A 20,282-nucleotide genomic window follows, 5' to 3' on the forward strand; every position below is an offset into this window, starting at 1 on the left:
TTGTACACTTTGAATAACTAAATGTATGGTATGTGAATTATATGTCAATAAAGCTGTTAAAACAACAACAGTTCCATCTGCTAGACAGCTAGCTCACCACCTCAAGAAGCAGTGAAAAACTTCTTTTCACATTATATGTCCTGATTTGGGGACCAAAAATGTGGGATTTTCAATAGCATTCCTGATATTCTGGTGTGAAGGAAGGAAAATATATAAATTACATAGCTTCAGCTCATACAGAGTTTAAAATATTGTTGAAGAGGTGAGAATTACATCAAGGAACACTTAGAGAACACACTCCCACTTGCAATCATCCTTATGACTTTTTTTGGCTGTGGTTTTTAGGTCAGATTATTATTATTTTTGTCCAAAATGATGCATTTTTGATATATTCATTCCATAGATATCTATAAGCACCTGCTGCACTTCAGATACCATGCTTATAAAGGAGGACTGCTGTTTCATCTTCTGTCTCTCCTCAAAATGTCATAGTCCAGCGGAATAATGGAATAAATGCCGAGGCTATCTCTTCTAGAAGCATCACGGATGCTGGAAAGAGCTCTGTGATGAGGCTCAGGAGGCCTGACTAGTCTGGGCCTGACTACCCATTGCCTCTGTTTTCTTGGACAAGTCATTTATTTCTGAATCATAGTTTGCTTTCTTTGTAAAATGAGGGGGCTGGTTTCTCTCATGTTCTTTTCAACTCTGTATACTACTTAGGTTGCATAAGAGGTTGATATTGGTCATTTGAGAAAGCGTTTTCCCTTTTCTGTTGCTTTTAAGGAAAGAAAATGAATGCATTTAAAAAGAGAAACTCTTTCTATAATTTGTTACACAAATAATGTGCATTTGCCATGATGATCTGAAACCCCAAGGTTTTATGGTAAGCAGTTATTACCTTACCTCTTACTTGAATATGTGTGAGTAAATTGCATGTAGAGTTGAATAGTGCTGCTGGGAAGGCAACTTCTTTCTACTCCCAGAAGGTATTAGGATAGTGTCCTTTGCCTATTGTGCTACATTTATTTATAATTTTAGGAAGAAGAAAATTAATAATGAAACTTGAATAATCACCCATAATGTTACCGGTTTCCACATACGCCATTATTGAAGACTCATTTATTTATCTCTTGCCATCTGTTGGCATTTGATCAAAAACCAAAAGATGTAAAAATGAGTCATGGCTTACTCTCTCTCAGTACCCTTTACCTTTATGGCTGTGAGTGAGAGAGAAGGTGTGTCATACCCAAACCCACTGATAGCCAGTAACAGAGGAAATGAAGGGAACTCTTCAAAGCCCAAAGCAAGAATGTGCATTTGTTGTGGTAACTACCTTGGAAAATGAAAGTTTGATGTTGTTTTCTTGTGATAACTATTTTGATTCTCCAGCTATACTCTTAAAAGAGGAGGAAAAGCAGGGAGCAGGGGCATTTTTATAGGACATATTCCCAGAGATAATAAAAAGTCTACATATTCCGCATGCTCTTGGGAACATGGACTTCCGATGCCACTGGACAAAGTTACCTTTGTGTGTCTTTGAATGTACCTGCTGCAAAGGGGAAATCAGGCAGCCTTTCCTACTATAAGGGTGGCTGCTTTCCAACCAAGAACAGACAAGCCTTCTCTGCTGGAACTAGGATGAGGTAGCTATTTTAGGTGGGGGAACCCGTCCCACAGCAAATGTGAGTAGTAACACAAAAGCATTTTTAAAACTTTGAATCATAGATACCCAAATTTGGGAGGAAGCCTAGAACTCATCTAGTACAATCCTTAGTTTTACAGGCAAAGAGACACAGGAAGGTGACGTGACTTCTTCAGGGTCCCACAGCCATTCATAGAGAACAGCACCTTGATCTCTTGAAGCTAAATTTCATGTTTCTTACAGGGGGTTATTTAGAATAGATCAGATAATAGTTCCATATATATATATATATATATATATATATATGGTGGATGTTTTTAATTTTCAAATAATTTTCACATGTAGAGTAAGAAACTGGGTTGTTATTCTTAATTTTTCCTTCTACAATGGTGAGCACTATTGTACATAAGCATATTGTACATGATTGTTACTCAATATTTATCTCCTGGTTTACTCTGTAAAACAGTTAGGAAAAGAATTAACTACCCCCACTTGACCAATGTAGAAATTAAGGCAGAGGCTTGTCTGGGCCTACCAATTCTCTGTGCTTCAGTAGTTTCTCTGAAGACTAGAAATAATAGGATTATTATGGCTGCTCAGGTGCAGCAAAGAAAAATGACAACAAATCTCAGATTATTATGACAGATTAAAGGTGGCCACAAATTCTTCCCCTCTTTTCTCATCAACGGGGGTGTTTAGGTCAGGCCCAATGTCTCACGCCTGTAATCCCAACACTTTGGGAGGCCGAGGAAGGCAGATCACTTGAGACCAGGAGTTCAAGACCAGCCTGGCCAACATGGTGAAACCCCATCTCTACTAATAAATAAATAAATAAATAAATAAATAAATAAATAAATAAATAATTAGTTGGATGTGGTGGCACACCCCTGTAGTCCCAGCTATTCACGAGGCAGAGGTAGGAGGATTGCTTGGACCTGGGAGGCGGAGGTTGCAGTGAGCCAAGATTGCACCATGTGCACGTCCACGCCACAAAGCAAGACGCTGTCTCAAAAAAATAACCAAAAAAGAGCTGGTGTTTATTTGGTGTTTATTTCTCCTCTCTCCAAATCTGGGCTGGGCTGTGACTGCTTTTACAGATGAAGTAATATGGAAGGGATGGTGTGTTCGCTGTGGACCTAGCCTTTATGACGACTGGCAGCTTTTCCTTGGTCTCTTAGAGCCCTGAGCTTCCATGTAAGAAGACCAGCTACTCTGGAGACACCACATGGAGAGGGAGAGGAGGAAAGACTCAGTAGAGCCTAGCCTTCAGCCGTCACCACCAAGGTGCCTGACATGGGAATGAGGGCATCTTAGACCTGCCTATCAGTCTGGCTGAAGATCACCAAGTAAATGCTGTGCAAAACAGACAAATGGTCCATCCCAGCTCTGCTCAGACTCCTACATGACATAACTGTGAGCTATAATGAAAATGCCTTTTGTTTCAGCCACTAATATTAGGGATAGTTAATTATGCTGGGACAGATAACCCTAGCAGTTGTTATAAGAAGTAAATGCGTTTATACATAAAAGCATTTAGAACAGGACCTAATGAATAAATATTAGCATTTCCTCCCCTTCTCTCTATCCCCCTTCTCCTCCTCTCCCTCCTCTTCCCCTCCTCCTCCGTCTTATATATATATAGTCTCCTCCTCCTCCTCTTCATATATATATATATATTTTGTTGTTGTTGTTGTTGTTTGTTTTGTTTTTTTTTGTTTTTGTTTTTGTTTTTTGATGGAGTCTCACTCTGTCGCCCAGGCTGGAGTGCAGTGGCATGATCTCGGCTCACTGCAAGCTCCGCCTCCCGGGTTCACACCATTCTCCTGCCTCAGCCTCTTTAGCAGCTGGGACTACAGGCCCCTGCCACCACGCCCAGCTAATTTTTTTTTTTGTATTTTTAGTAGAGACAGGGTTTCACCGTGTTAGCCAGGATGGTCTCGATCTCCTGACCTCGTGATCCACCCGCCTCGGCCTCCCAAAGTGCTGGGATTACAGGCGTGAGCCACCGCGCCCAGCCTATATATTCTTTTTTAATAGCTTGTAAAATAAGTCAAGAAAATTCTGAAGCTCTAGGTCTCCAACATTCATTTTACGTTTTTGTTCCATGACACTGTGCTGCACAGTCTAGAAAGCATAAGTGAGACTGCTGTGTTTCCTGGCTTTCTACTTTCTTTTAAGGCATGTTCAACCTGAGGCAGCCATGAGCCACTTTGGCACATGAGAATTCAATTTGGCATTTTATTTATACATTTCTACTCTTAATTCATTCATTATTCAAGAAATATTTATTGAGCACCAACTATATGCTAGGAACTGTGCTAGCTGCTGAGAAAACAGGAGTGAATAAGGCAGACCTTGTCTTCATGGAGTTTATAGTTTAGTGGGGACAATTTATTAATAAGTGAACAATTAACAATACTTCTGAGAAAAGTGCTACAGAAGAAATGAGTATGATGTGAGAGTGAACAACAGAGGGATGCGTTTCAGATAGGGAGGTCTGTGAAGCTGAGGAGCCTGCCATGGGAGGAGTCTGGGGAATGTTATGCCAGGCAGAGGGGAGCAAGTGAGAAGTCCCAGAGGAGGGAAAGATCTGGAAGAAAAAAAGAAGCCAAAGTGTGTGGAGCCTAGTGTGAGGTGAGGTGGTAGAGCTGGGTAGAAGTCAGGTGATGCAGGGTTTTTTGTTCACTGGATCTTCGTAGGAAACTTGGGTTTTACTGTAGGTGAGATAGGAGATACTGAAGGGGTTTAAACAACAAGTGGCATATATTTTAGAAAGATCACCCAGGATGACACAGGGAGACTGGATTAACAAAGGGGGAAGGTGGGGAAGCAAGGAGGGCATTTAGGAAGCCATTGCACAAATCCAAGCAGAAGATGATGCTGGCTTCATCAGAGTGGAGGGAGTGGGTTTGAAGAGAAGTATGTGGGATGTGACTGATGGAATGTGACTGATGGGAACCAATGGCATAGGGATGGACATGCAGGTTCTGGACTTAGACTCCCTGGGCTCACCAAGCTCTAACGCTAGTTGTGGGATCTTTAGCAACTTACTGAACTTCATTATCCTCAATATGTCTGTCTGTAAGATCAGATAGAGGATATCTACTTATAGGGATATGATGAATACTAAAGTTAATACTTATAAAGCACTTTTAAAAGTCCATGGCAGAGTAAGCACTCAGTAAGCATTCTCTATTGTTAGATTTCGAAGGACTTGCTGATGAACTGAATTTGTGGGATGAGGGAAAAAATGGAGGAAAAGATTATGTCTTCCTTAAAATTCATTCCAAAAGTTCCCAGTAGAAGTCATTTGTCTTCTCTGTGGAGCATCTTAGAACTTTTATTTATTTATTTATTTATGTATTTTAATATGACCTCACCTTACCTCACACCCAGCCTTACGTTATAGCATTGTGTTTGCACCTGCATATGTGTGTCTATGTATCTACATCTGACTTTTTGTGAACTTCTTAAGAATTGGGACTGTGTCTCATTCATAGTGTCTAAGACAGAGATTCTCAACTAAGACAGTAGTGGAGAGGGGCAATGAAAATCATGTGTGGTTATCAGTTCCTTAGCAATTACAACCCCCACCCCAGCCCTCCTCTAACCCAGAAGATTCTGAAACAATTGCCAGAGTGAGCCAATATTGGTTACGAGAATGCATTTTACCCCTGAGATGTTTTGGGGCAGGAAAGGTGTTGAGAACCTCAGATTCTAGACAGTTAATAATACATGTCTGTTGAAATGAATTGAGAATAGTTGTGTACTCTATGCTGTTTCAAAATTGTAGATATATAGTATTTTAAATGATAGCAATGTTAACTGTGTCAACACTTGGAAATAATAAAGAATAATGGAATACTGTGTCAAGTAAAAAATTAAGTATGAAATAATATGTATACAATGACTACAATTATGTAAAATATTAAAGATCAGAGGACAAAACATAATAAATGTAGTTAGCTTTTTTTTTTTTTTTTTAAGACTGAGCCTTGCTCTGTCACTCAGGCTGGAGGGCAGTGGTGCATTTTCGGCTCACTGGAACCTCTGCCTCTTGGGTTCAAGCAATTCTTGTGCCTCAGCCTCCCAAGGAGCTGGGACTACAGGCGCTGGCCACCTTGCCCAGATAATTTCTTTTTTTTTGTACTTTAGTAGAGACGGGGTTTTACCTTGTTGGCCAGGCTGGTCTAGAACTCCTGAGCTCAGGCGATCTGCCTGCCTTGGCTTCCCAAAGTGCTAGGATTACAAGTGTAATTAGCGTTTGTTTCAAGTTTTACAGAATGTTTTTCTTACAAAGTTAATTAAATACAAATCCCAGTGTTCCCTTAAGTGGCTTCTTCCTGACATCAACTCTCCAGATGCTTCTGCCAAACAGGATTCCTTTAACAAATGTGGGAACTGCTTCAGTGCAGATTCCCCTCTTGGAAATACACAGAACCCCAAATCCTGTGAGAAGCCAACTTTTTTGCTTTGTTTTTCCAAGTTGTTCTCAGATTAGTTTGGCCCCCCCAAACCCTTTGGGAAACAAAGGACACTGCTACCATTTCCAGAAGTATTGTCTGCAGAACGACCTCAGGAAAATGTGGGCACAGGGCATTCCTCACATCCTCCTGTGCCTACCCCTTGGTGACTCTCACAGGCTATTCATGTTATCATGGATTGAGGAATCCCTGTGTTGCATGTGATACTAAAATTCGACTTCCTCTTTATCTTTTTAATCATTTAAGTGGAGTTTGGTTTTGATATCTGATGACATTTTATCAGGTAGTTCTGTAGACCTTTTTCTGTTCCCAGCCTCTCTGTCAAATATTTACTCTAAAAATCACACTGGTAAATGCTAGAGGAGATTTGTCATTTAAATGAGCCAACCTGTAATGAATTCACTTATAAAGAGAGAACAGTTTTGACATGTAGATAGCCACTTTCTATTTTTATTGACTTTTAAAATAATAATATAAGGAGTATATTGAGTTTTATTGGATATTTTCATGAGAAAATGTGTCCTCTGGAAGATGGACTAGGGAGGATGACAGTGAAGACTGGATATTGGACAGAAGCTCTAGGGAATACCAGGGAAGCCATGGAAATTGCTAGTTCTCTGGAGCTTGTTCAAGTTTTGAAACTATCACAAGCAGTATTATTTCTGATGTTTCACCTTTTATTTTTTTTTTCTTAAAATATATGGTCAAAATGAGAGGACTAAATAATAGGTATAATGAATCCTATAGCTCTTATACTGCCAGATAGCTCTCCAGAGTGGTTGAACTAATTCATTATTTTATATATAATTATGTTAAGTAAATTTGTTTAACTAATTCAATCAATATGCAATACTTGTTTTAAACTGTTTTTCTCGTAATTATTACAGAGGCTGAACCTTTCCCACATGTTTTGTCACTACGTTTACTAATCTACAAACTGCTTGCATCATTTTAATTCTTGTTAAGCTTAGCTATTTTTATGGAAAGTTATTTAATAAACTCAGGAAATAGAAATGAAAGCTGAGTACAAACTACTGAGCTTCTTCTTACTTGGACGAAAAAGAGCCAAATCAAGCTTATTGAATTGGACAGAGGCAGCCTTGCACCAACCCCAAGCCCCACAACTCCCACCCTCTCACCTCTTACTGGAGAAGCTGCATTTAGCCAATGATCATGTCAGTCACGTTCCCTTATTATGTGCCTGGCATACAGTTGGTATTTAGTACATAGTAATGGAGGAAAGAAAGAAGGAAGGAAAGAAGGATGAGAGAGAAGAGGGAGGGAGGAAGGAAGGAAGGGTAAGAGAGAAGAGAGGAAGGAAGAGAAGAAGAAAGGAAGGGAAGGAAGGAAGGGGGGGGAGAGAGAGGGAGGGAGGGAGGCCTTGTATTTCCCAGAAATGCCCTAATAGTGCATATTATTCTTTAACTCATTTAGCATTTAACAACAGAAAATGTATTGTTCTTATTTTCAAACTTTCTTATCCAGCCACATAAACTGACTGGTCCCATTTTATGAGGGGTTTATGCGGGAGGTTCTCTAAAATTACATCTAGTTTTAAACTAATGCTGTGATCTGAAAGATATACTCCATGTAACACTTCAGTCCAAATTAGGCTAGAGATTTTTTTAAAGTATATATTTAGTCCTGTTTCCTTTCATTTCCCAAAACAAATGTATTATAGGTGTCCCTGTCAATTTTCCTCACCCCTTGCACAGATGCGTGCATGCTCACACACCCTAAGCAATAATTCCCACTCTAGAGCCTTTGCTCCTGGTGTTTTTCCACCTAAAAGACCCTCTTCTCCCTCTGCACTCATCTACATCCTTCCCGCCCTTCAAATCTTAAGTCGTATTTGAAGCCCTAGAATCATAAAGCTGTTGCCTGTACTATTATCTTTGCTTTATATTTTTCCTCATTCCAGGGAACTCCTCCAGTCCCCTGAAATGAAGACAGTGTGCTCCAGCTGACTGTGCCCTGGGGACTGTGTCCCTGCTAGCTTCTGATCAAATACTCACACCCTGCATAGGTCCCTGGCTGTCCTCACCCAGGGCAATCCCCCTGGCCTGGAGCTGACGTGGCTTTGAACTCCCACGCAGAGCTGCTCTTCTGCCCTACTTCTGGATTTTACTGTAACTTGCTTAGCAGTCAGAGGTGCTGAAGTTGCAGAAAGGCCCTGTGGGTTTGCTTTTGATAGTGTTCAAATTGTTTCCAAAACTGTTTAGCATTTCCTGCTCTTAACAGGCTCCTTGAGCTCAGCTTTTGCCATTGTCTGTCCTCCCTGGGCTCCTTTTCCTTATTTTTTATTCCCCATTTTGACTTTCCCCATTCCATTTCTTTGTTTCTCTTAGGTCATTGATTCATTGCAATCACCCAAATCTCCCCTGCCTTTCTTCCCTTTTTTTTTTTTTTTTTTTTTGGTCACTATCACGTTTTTCTCTCTGGCATCGTGACTGGCATTGTCCCTTATTTCTACTATTGAAGTAATAAGTTTTTAGGGAAAACAGTTTCAAGCAATTTAGCAGAATTTTTGATTTCAGACTGACCCTGACTTCAAATCTGACCTCTGACCCTAGTTTAACCTTTGGTGAATTACTTCCACTGTTTTGAGTCTCAGCTTTATCCTCTCTTACAGAGGCACCATAAATTCTGACTTGCACAAATTGGGAGGATACATGAGATCATTTATAGGCAGTGTTTGATGTCACAGTAAATAATATTCCTCATCCAATCTATTTCCTGCCTTCTCATGAAGAAGTGACTCCATTTTGGTGCTGATTGTTAGATTTCCACTCATTCATTTATTCAATCAATATCTGCCCATTTATTGTGTGACAGGCACTGAGGTAGCATTGGAAACACAGTGATAAAATGTGCTAGACCAGGGATCCCCAAGGCCCGGCCATGGCCGGGGCACCAGTCTGTAGCCTGTTAGGAACTGGGCCACTCAATAGGAGGTGAGCAGTGGTGAGTATTCCCGCATTAGATTCTCATAGGAGCATGAACCCTACCATGAACTGTATGCGAGAGATCTGGGTTGCGCTTTCCTTATGAGAATCTAACAAAAAGGTTGGGGATCACTGTGTGAGACAGTGTTGCCACTCTTACAAAGCTTATAGTCTAGTGGAAGATTCAGATAAGTCCACTAGCATTTCGCTCCCCATTTTTCTCACCCCTTCTTCTGTGAGGAAAAGCTCAGTGAGGGCATGCTTCTGTGTGTCAGCTACTGCGCTTCCTGTCAAAGGCCCAAGAAAATGCCTCTCACCCTCAAGGAGCTTCAGCCTCATAACTGATTTATGTGTCAGATAGGGTGATAATCCAGTGGAAGAACTGATCATTTCTGCAGAAGACGGAGAAGAGAAGAGAGGGTGTTGCGGGAGCCTCACTGAAGAGGCGGGATCTGAAGGGACGGCTGGTGTTGTTCTGGGTGATAGAGGAATGAGCCACAGACCTGGAAAGTGACAATTTGAAATGATGTGACTCCCCTGGGAAGTTAGCTCCAAGGCATTTAGTCCTGCTGGTGTGAAAGCAGCAAGTGGAGAAATGAATGGTAAGGAAGGTGCTGGATAGTCCTGAGAGGCCTTGGATGCCATCGCTGGGAGTTTGATTGCTTTCTGAAAGTGCAGGAGAACCATTGAAGTACATACAGAAATGTGAGGAATCTAACTCCTCTAACTCTGTGAAGAAGGAAAGGAGAGGGAAGACACAGCAGGCAGGGGGCCTAGCAACTAGGATGCCATCTCCCTTTAACAAATGAGGAAACTGCAGTGTAAAGAGGCCGAGTAACATGTACAAGGTCATAAAGCATCTTTAAGGGGCAGAGCTGGGATTCAGATCTCTGTCATCTGACTCTAGAGTCTGTATTCTAGCAATACTTGATTAAGTGAAAATACAATAGTAAAGATCATGTAAACCAGACATCTTAAACATTAGCATCATCGGTACCCCCCTGGGCTTGTTAAAGCACAGATTTCTGATTCCCATCCACAGATTCTGATTCAGCAGGTCTGAGTGCTGCCTGAGAATCTGCATCTCTAATGAGTTCCCAGGTGATGCAGATGCTGAAATCATAGGAAAAACATCACACAAGACTAGAATTTAGCAACAGGTGTACTGTAGTTTTTGAAAAATAATTTTTCTTTCTCCAGTTTCCCATTTTTATTAAAAGACAAATCATGGTAGGACTGGTTTGCGTTATTACACTTGGCCTAATTATTTGTATACAGTGCTGCAAGAATAATTATTTTTCACATAGGCCTTTTATATTGTCTTTGATAGAACTTTGTTCTATAGAAGGAATCCAAGATAAGATCTTTTTAAAGATGAACCCAGCCATGGATTTCTACCATCAAATACCTATGAGTTGGGTGAATTCCTCTCCTCTTGAGGTTCCAAGATAACTTGGGGTTCCTGGCCTGTCAGAAAGTGACATTCTATATTTACCACAGATCAGAAACCCTATACAGGGACTGTGTACACAAAATATGAGGCCAGGTTTCCAAGGGCTTTATTGGCTCCATAAGTTGTTTGATTCCTTAAACAAGAGCATACCATTCCAGTGAAAGCCTTGTTAAAATAACCAGGTGTTCCAATTGTGACATGTTACAAAAGAAAACAGATTTTTATTGCACTTATGCAAATAACTATATTGCCATAAATTAAGAATACTCACAGATAGTTTCCAAATTCTAGAGGGACAAGGCAGAGAGAAACAAATATGCTCCAAATTTTGTTCATAGGAGTATACTTTACTTAATTGTTAAAATCTGTTAATAGCACAAAAGAAAAGCTTCCTTGACTCTGAAAAGAAAAACAAAGGATCAGGAACATTTTAAGCAAAAAGTCAAAAAGATCACTTCAATCTCCTATCAGTTCAGTTCATGCAGTTAATTCCCATCCTGCTTGATATTAATGAATATTTTAGTTCTTCAAGAGTACTGAATGTTTTTCCTCTATTCTGATGTCACAATCTCCAAAGCTATTAGAAACCTGCATTCAAGAGCACCTTCTAAAGAGGACCAAAACAAGACAACAATTGACAGGGAAATCTGTTACCTCTGTAGCACACAATAATTTAACATAACAATTATAGTTATTACTGATAACATACACTAAGACATATCAGAATGATAGGAGTTTCACATGATTTTGGGACACATACCAATAACATATTTATACAAATATAGCCTAAAGAAAACCAAACACCATCTCATATTTGACAATGCTTTCTGTACGATTTTTATACCAAATAAGCCAAATTTCACCTTTACATTAGTATGCTATTAATGTTAAACCCAATTCTTAATAAATCCTTATAGATATATTTACTCAATTTTAATGTTTGACCATAAAGTAAGGTTTTTGTAGATCTTTTATAATCCTTTACAATTTTTGTTAAAGAGCAGGTTAGTGCTCTGAGAGAACTCCATTGTGCTTTTATTTTAATGCTCAATTTACAGAAAAACTGGATGATACTGCTTTAACTCTAACCAATATGTTTACACACAGAATTTCCTTTACAATCTACCTTCCACAACTTGCTTAAATCTTCATCTGTATTTTATCCACTTAAAACAATCCTTTAACCTTTAAAAGGCAAAAATCCACATTCTCATGCCTCCTTATAATCTTTTAACCAAAAGAGTGTTTTACTTTCCTTACACACCTTGCATGTAAACTGTTTCTTCAATAGTCTTAAATACATGTTACACTGTTAACTCTTAGCAACCTTTACTTATGGTGAAAACCTTGGTAAGTCTGTGATTTAATTATGTGCTAGGTGTGGAGCCTAGGACCCAGACGAAAGTAGATAAGGTCTTACTTATTCCAGTGTCTAACTCCATGTGTCCCAGGCCTTATCTAGAATTTAATACTCCAAAATAAATTCACAATTTTTAAGTCAAAGAAGCAGTTTATGACCTAAAGCATTTAGCAAACCTAATATTTTACCTGCATAATTTAGACCAAATGTTTATACTTTTGAAGATATTTTAATTTTACCAATAGTTTTTAAAACTCTTTATTTTTATCACTTTCTTTATATCTCTCTTATATATTTTCTGATTTCTTTTACCTTGTTTTATATATAACCTTTAAATAAGCTTTGAATTAGACAAAAATTACTTGCCCTTTAAAAAGGGCACAATTTTTAGAAAGAATATTTTCCTACAATATATTTTTATTGGGAAACACCCAAATAGTGACAAGTTTGTTTATGAGTATTTATCCCATTACATTTATCTAATTATTTGTTTTAATTGTTTACCTAGATTATTTATGAAAATTGCAAAAGTCATCATGTAAAGTTATAAAACCACCATTGCAAAATTATAACTCAGACAGCGAAAATGATCTGACCTAACTGACTCCATCTTGCTTCTAACCTCCAAGCTATTCTTGTTCATTAACTTAGTTTATACTTTAGCACCGAAACAAAGATGATAACAGTCATCTTTTTTGTTCCCCAGAACAAACTTCCTTCATGTTTGTGGACTAGGCTGCCTAAGGCCACAAGATTAGAAGTTAGGGTATTTTACTAAATAGTTCAAAATGTAGCTATCTTCATTAAACCAATATTACTGTTTCATTTATTAAAAAATTACACAAGCAAAGATCATTCTGTTTTGGGCTGAGTTACAGTTTTGTAGCCCCTATATCAAATACCTTATAGTATTTGGCAGAGATAAGTATGAAATTCCTTGATTGATAACTGCAAACAAAAATGTATGCTAGCAACTCTTAAGATATTTTTAATATTACTTTACCAATAATTTTTAAAGCTAGCTTATTTATTAAAGATTTTACTTAAGTCACGTAAACTTGAAAAAGCATTTGACTAGTCTTTCCTTTTTTCTGTTAAAGTATTTAAGTGCTTTTATTTTTCTTTGAGCCAATTAATTAGAACTCTTTTATATATTTTCAGTAGTGAAACATGGTGTGCACAAGACATATACATAGACATATTAGGCATGCCAATAGAAATACATTTTATTGATTCATAAGACCTCCTTTTTCCTAACTGGATCTTTGAGATCTGGGCAGGTCCCACACTGAATCCTGGGTTTTCAAAAAGGGAGAATTATTACGAGGCTAGACCATGTGATGCTTTTACAGTGCGCTCAAATTTTTTTCATAAACAAAGACATTTCTAAGTGTCTAAATTACACTTAATTTTCTTAAAAACCCTAGAGTAGCTTTTGTTGTAATAGCTATTAATGAAGAAAACAGAATTCAGTCAACTGAGAAGAAAAAAAAAAAGTTTGCTCAAAAAGACAAGGTCCTAGGAAAGAAATAAAAACAAAAACATGAAGGCCTTTTAAATACAAACATGCACGCATGTACACGTACATACACATATCTTGGATGTTAGCTTTAATTAAGCTGACTTTTAACCAATGAACTCCTAAAAAAATAAAATTCCTTCCTAGAGGCCTCTCAGCAGGAATGTACCCTATAACTCCCATTTTCAAGTTTACATGGTATCAAAAGATTATTCCTTTTGATATTGGTCTAAATTATTCCTTACACAAACAAGTGGAGACAAATTTTGAACAACACAAGGGGGAGTGCACTCAGGCAAAACAGACTCAGAACCAACTCAAAACCTGATCTCAATCAAAATGCAAAGCAGATATATGAGAGAGCCTTATTGCTTCCCTTGGCGGTATCAGACAAATGGCTTACCAAGCCCAGATAGGAAACAGTAGGCTCCTAGCATAGAATCTGGTTAACTCACCCTTTGAGCGCATCTGCTCCTGATCTCTGTTTCTCCTCAGTAGTGAAAAGGACATGCAGATTTGCGCACAACAGCCCTCTGGAGGGTCCCGGGGGAAACCTCACCCAGCAGCTTCTGGGATCCTCCTGAAGACTGTCTCATAGCAAGTTGCCAGCCGCTGAATGCAGCACTGTCCTTAATTCCTGGCTTGTGTGCCAAATTTTTATCCCGGATCAAACTGAGGGTCAGGCTGCTATTTCTCGCGGCACAATAACAAGATGCAGATGAACTGGGGAGGAAGAGAGTTTTTATTTCTGTAACCGGTTATAGGGAGAAGACCTGGAAATTATCACCAGACCAACTCAAAATTACAGTTTTCCAAAGCTTATATACCTTCTAAGCTATTCATCTACATGTAAGTATGCATTCATCTAAAGACATAAGTGATTAGCTTCTTTTAATCTATAACTAAGGTCTGAGTCCTGAAGACCTTCCTCTGGAGCCTCAGTACATTTACTTAATCTAAATGGGTCCAGGTGCTGGGGTGATTGCCCTTATTTTGTCTCCTGCTAAATCATGTAGGTTTGAGGAGTTCCTTCAGACCCCCAGTAAACTTGTTTGTGGAGGTCTGGGGAGTTTCTTCAGACCCACAATAAAACTTGTTTAATCCTAAATGGGTCCTGTTAAGAATTCCTTCGTTATTTTGTCATGCTTTAAGGCCCAGGAAAGGCCTAAGCCAAAATCTTGGTGGGGTTTTTTTTACATCCCAGCCTTTGTATAAGGGCACTGGCTTTTAATATTTAACTTAACCCACTCAGTCAGTACTGAAATAGTTGTTAGTAGACCTGGCCTGCCACTGCATGAATTACGAATTGGAGGAAAGAGATAAATCAGAGATAACCCAATTCCCTGCCCTCAGGGCAGAATACAGACCAAAGGATTTTCCTTGGTCCTCCCTCCTGACAGTTTCATCCTTCATGCATATTTCTTATTTTCAAATTTTGTGCTCTTTTTCCCCTCATTTTTTCTTCTATGTTTTTCTTATATAATTCCTTTTTTAATCTTTAACTTGGGTTAATTTATATACCCACATTTTTCACCTTTTGAACCTTTTACCTCATTGATAGAATTTTTTAAAATCTTAACCTTTTATATCCGATACATTAATTTTTTTATTTTTTATTTTACTTTAAGTTCTGGGATACATGTTCAGAATGTGCAGGTTTGTTACATAGGTATACATGTGTCATGGTGGTTTGCTGCACTTATTAGCCTGTCATCTGGGTTTTAAGCCCCACATGCATTAGGTATTTGTCCTAATGCTCTCCCTCCCCTTGCCCCCCAACCTCCCACCCCACCGACAGGCCCCAGTGTGTGATGTTCTTCTCTCTGTGTCCATGTGTTCTCATTGTTCAACTCCCACTTATGAGTGAGAACATGTGGTGTTTAGTTTTTTGTTCCTGTGTTAGTTTGCTGAGAATGATGGCTTCCAGCTTCATCCATGTCCCTGCGAAGGACATGAACTCATTCTTTTTTATGGCTGCATGGTATTCCACGGTGTATATATGCTACATTTTCTTTATCCAGTCTATCATTGATAAGCATTTGGGTTGGTTCCAAGTCTTTACTATTGTAAATAGTGCTGCAATAAACATACATGTGCATGTGTCTTTAAAGTAGAATGATTTATAATCCTTTGGGCATGTACCCAGTAATGGGATTGCTGGGTCAAGTGGTATTTCTGGTTCTAGATCCTTGAGGAATAACCACACTGTCTTCCACAATGATTGAACTAATTTGCACTCCCACCAACAGTGTAAAAGCGTTCCTATTTCTCCATAGCCTCACCAGCATCTGTTGTTTCAAGACTTTTTAATGATCACCATTCTAACTGGCGTGAGATGGTATCTAATTGTGGGTTTGATTTGCATTTCTCTAATGACGAGTGATGATGAGGTTTTTTTCATACGTCTGTTGGCCACATAAATGTCTTCTTTTGATAAGTGTCTGTTCGTATCCTTTGCCCACTTTTTGATGGGGTTGTTTCTTTCTTGTATTGTTTAAGTTCTTTGTAGATTCTGGATAGTAGACCTTTATCAGATGGGTAGATTACAAAAATTTTCTCCCATTCTGTAGGTTGTCTGTTCACTCTGATGATAGTTTATTTTGCTGTGCAGAAGCTCTTTAGTTTGATTAGATCCCATTTGTCAATTTTGGCTTTTGTTGCCATTGCTTTTGGTGTTTTAGTCATGAAGTCTTTGCCCATGCCTATGTCCTGAATGGTATTGCCTAGGTTTTCTTCTAGGGTTTTTATGGTTTGGGGTTTTATATTTAAGTCTTTAATCTGTCTTGAGTTAATTTTTGTATAAGATGTAAGGAAGGGGTCCAGTTTCTGTTTTCTGCCTATGGCTAGCCAGTTTTCCCAGTACCATTTATTAAATAAGGAATCCTTTTCCCATTGCTTGTTTTTGTCAGGTTTGTTGAAAATCAGATGGTTGTAGATGTGTGGTGTTATTTCTGAGGCCTCTGTTCTGTTCCATTGGTCTATATATCTGTTTTGGTACCAGTACCCTGCTGTTTTGGTTACTGTAGGCTTGTAGTATAATTTGAAGTCAGGTAGCATGATGCCTCCAGCTTTGCTCTTTTTGCTTAGGATTGTCTTGGCTATATAGGCTCTTTTTTGGTTCCATATGAAATTTAAAGTAGTTTTTTCTAATTCTGTGAAGAAAGTCAATGGTAGATTAGTGGGAATAGCATTGAATCTATAAATTACTTTGGGCAGTATGGCCATTTTCACGATATTGATTTTTCCTATCCATGAGCATGACATTTTTTTTTTTCCATTTGTTTGTGTTCTCTCTTATTTCCTTAATCAGTGGTTTGTAGTTCTCCTTGAAGAGGTCCTTCATGTCCCTTGTAAGTTGTATTCCTAGGTATTTTACTCTCTTTGTAGCAATTGTGAATGGGAGTTCACTCATGATTTGGCTCTCTGTTTCTCTATTGTTGGTGTATAGGAATGCTTGTGATTTTTGCACACTGATTGTGTATCCTGAGACTTCACTGAAGTTGCTTATTAGCTTAAAGAGTTTTTGGGCTGAAACGATGCGGTTTTCTAAATCTACAATCATGGTCATCTGCAAACAGAGAAAATTTGACTTTGTTGTTTGGTCTTTATATTTTGGTGTGTTTTTGCAGTGGCCATTACAAGTTTCTCCTTTCCATATTCAGTGCTTCTTTCAGGAGCTCTTGTAAGGCAGGCCTGGTGGTGACAAAATCCCTCAGCATTTGCTTGTCAGGAAAGGATTTATTTCTCCTTCACTTATGAAGCTTAGTTTGGCTGGATATGAAATTCTGGGTTGAAAATTCTTTTCTTTTAAGAATGTTGAATATTGTTCCCCACTCTCTTCTGGCTTGTAGGGTTTCTGCAGACAGACCTACTGTTAATCTGATGGGCTTCCCTTTGTAGGTAACCTGACCTTTCTCTCTGGCTGCCCTTAACATTTTTTCCTTTGTTTCAACCTTGGAGAATCTGACGATTATGTGTCTTGGGGTTGCTCTTCTCGAGGAGTATCTTTGTGGTTTTCTCTGTATTTCCTGAATTTGAATATTGGCTTGTCTTGTTAGGTTGGGGAAGTTCTCCTGGATAATATCCTGAAGAATGTTTTCCAGCTTGGTTCCATTCTCCCCATCACTTTCAGGTATGCCAATCAAACATCGGTTTGGTCTTTTCACATAGTCCCATATTTCTTGGAGGCTTTGTTTGTTCCTCTTCATTCTTTTTTCTCTAATCTTGTCTTCACGCCTTATTTCAGTAAGTTGATCTTCAATCTCTGATATCCTTTCTTCTGCTTGATCAAATCAGCTATTGATACTTGTGTATGTTTTACAAAGTTCTTGTACTGTGTTTTCCAGCTCCATTGGGTCATTTATGTTCTTCTTTAAACTGGTTATTCTAGTTAGCCATTCCTGTAACGTTTTATTAAAGTTCTTATCTTCCTTGCGTTGTGCTGGAACATACTCCTTTAGCTCAGAGGGGTTTGTTATTACCCACTTTCTGAAGCCTACTTCTGTCAATTTGTCAATCTCATTCTCCATCCAATTTTGTGCCCTTACTGGAGAGGAGTTATGATCACTTGGAGGAGAAGAGGCATTCTGGTTTTTGGAATGTTCAGCCTTTTTGCAGTGGTTTTTCCTCATCTTTGTGGATTTGTCTACCTTTGATCTTTGTGGCTGATGACCTTTGGATGGGGTTTTTGCGTGGGGGTCCTTTATGTTGATGTTGATGTTGTTGCTTTCTATTTGTTAGTTTTTATTCTAACAGTCAGGCCCATCTTCTGCAGGTCTGATGCAGTTTGCTGGAGGTCCGCTTCAGACCCTGGGTATCACCAGTGGAGGCTGCAGAACAGCAAATATTGCTGCTTGCTCCTTTCTCTGGAAGCTTCATCCCAGAGGGCACCAGCCTGAGGCCAGCCGGAGCTCCCCTCTATAAGGTGTCTGTCGACCCCTGTTGAGAGGTCTCTCCCAGTCAGGAGGCTCCAGGGTCAGGGACCCACTTGAGGCAGTCTGTCCTTTAGCAGAGCTGGTGTACTGTGCTAGGAGAATCCCTTTTGTCAGGATCAGCTGTTCTCTTCAGAGCCAGCAGGCAGGAACGATTAAATGCGCTGAAGCTGCTCCCACAGCTGCCCCATCCTCCAGGTGCTCTGTCCCAGGGAGATGGGAGTTTATCTGTAAGCATCTGACTGGGGCTATTCCCTTTCCTTCAGAGATGCCCCTTCCCAGTGAGGAGGAAACTAGAGAAGCAGTCTGGTCACAGTTGCTTTACCGCACTGTGGTAAATTTGCCCAGTCCACACCTCCCAGCCTCCTTAGCACTGTCAGGGGAAAACCACCTACTCGAGCCTCAGTAATGGCAGACGCCCCTCCCCCCACCATGCTAGATAGTCCCAGGTCAACTTCAGTACGCTGTGCTGGCGGTGAGAATTTCAAGCCAGTGGTTCTTAGCTTGCTGGGCTCCGTGGGAGTGGGACCTGCTGAGCGAGACCACTTGGCTCCCTGGCTTCAGCCCCATTTCCAGGGGAGGGAACGGGCCTGTCTCACTGGGGTTCCAGGTACCACGGGGGTGTGAAAAAAACTTTGGCATTTTATTTCTCTCAATTTTATCCTCATCTATGTATTCATTTTTCTCTTCTTTAATAATTTCTATATGTGTACAGCATCTTTGATTCCCTGGAAATTGTTCTTTACTGACATTTCATATTGTTCACTCTTTTTATGATTAATTACAGGTCTTAAAAAATCTAAGCCTTCTTATATGCATAGCTATATGTGCTATAGAGAAAACTAAAGTCGGAAAACGGATAATAAGTAGAGAGAGGGCCTCTGTATAAAGTGACATTTAAGTAAAGGCCTGATGCAATGATGGAATCACCATGTATTTGGTGTAAGAATTTTCAGGAATATTGAATAGTATATGTCAAGGCTCTGAGGTAGACACATGACTGGTAAGTTCAAAGAACTGCAAGGAGGCAAATGCTGGAAAAAAAAAAGTTATGAGGAGAGTGGTAGAGGATGAGGTCAGAGAGGAGCCGTGTGGTAATAAAGTTCATGTAGGGCCTTGAAGCCATTGTAAGGACTTTGGATTTTACTTGCATGAGTTTGAGAAGCTATTAAGAGGTTCTAAGTTAGAGAAGAGATATGCTCTGATTTATATTTGTACAGGATGATTTTGGCTGTTATATTGAAAATAGGCTGAAGATAGGCAAGTGAAGAAGAAGGAAGCTATTAGAATAATACGAGCGCAACTAAACTAGAGTGGTGACTGTGGAGGTAACGACAAATGGTAAATGTTACAAATGGTAACACATGCAACAGTTTGAGCTTACAGAATATGATGGAGCACTGAATGTAGGCTATGAGAAAGAGGGGGAGAGAGAGAGAGAGAGAAGGAGAGAAGGTGATAGGGAGAAGGAGGGAGAGGGAGGGAGGGAGGGAGACAGGGAGAGAGAGAGAGAAAGAGAGAAAGTTAAAGATGACTGCAAAGTTTTTGGCCTGAGGAACCAGAAAGGTAAAGTTCCCATATTCTGAGATGAGAAAGACTGCAGGAAGAGCAGGTAGGGCATGCATGTGGGGACCCAGGTATTCAGATTTGGTCATGCTGGTTTGAAATACCTGATGGACATCCAAATTGCAGTATCAACTAAATAGCTGGGTAGGTGAGTTGAATTTAGCAATTAAGTTCCACTGAAGATGTAGATTTGTATTTACGAATCATGGCATAGAGGTGGTATGTAAAACCATCACACTGGATGAGATCACCTAATGCTGTGCTTTTTTAAACTTTATGGACCACAAGCCACAGAATAAATTTACGCATGTCACATTACAACATGGTAAACACATTCTTCCATCCTGCCACCCCCAACACACAGATACACATACACTCTGAT

General features: G+C 39.4%; 2 annotated features.

The window, feature by feature from the left end:
- Positions 5,753-6,470: an enhancer, noted in NCBI's record as "OCT4-NANOG hESC enhancer chr1:172812249-172812966 (GRCh37/hg19 assembly coordinates)". NCBI's record gives its function as "activates a minimal SCP1, AML or CMV promoter by ChIP-STARR-seq in primed H9 embryonic stem cells {active_cell/tissue: H9 hESC(primed)}" and the evidence as "EXISTENCE:reporter gene assay evidence [ECO:0000049][PMID:30033119]".
- Positions 8,106-8,285: an enhancer, noted in NCBI's record as "active region_2097". NCBI's record gives its function as "activates an Ori minimal core promoter by ATAC-STARR-seq in GM12878 lymphoblastoid cells {active_cell/tissue: GM12878}" and the evidence as "EXISTENCE:reporter gene assay evidence [ECO:0000049][PMID:35858748]".

Source organism: Homo sapiens, chromosome 1, assembly GCF_000001405.40.
Source record: "Homo sapiens chromosome 1, GRCh38.p14 Primary Assembly".
Classification (NCBI taxonomy): domain Eukaryota; kingdom Metazoa; phylum Chordata; class Mammalia; order Primates; family Hominidae; genus Homo; species Homo sapiens.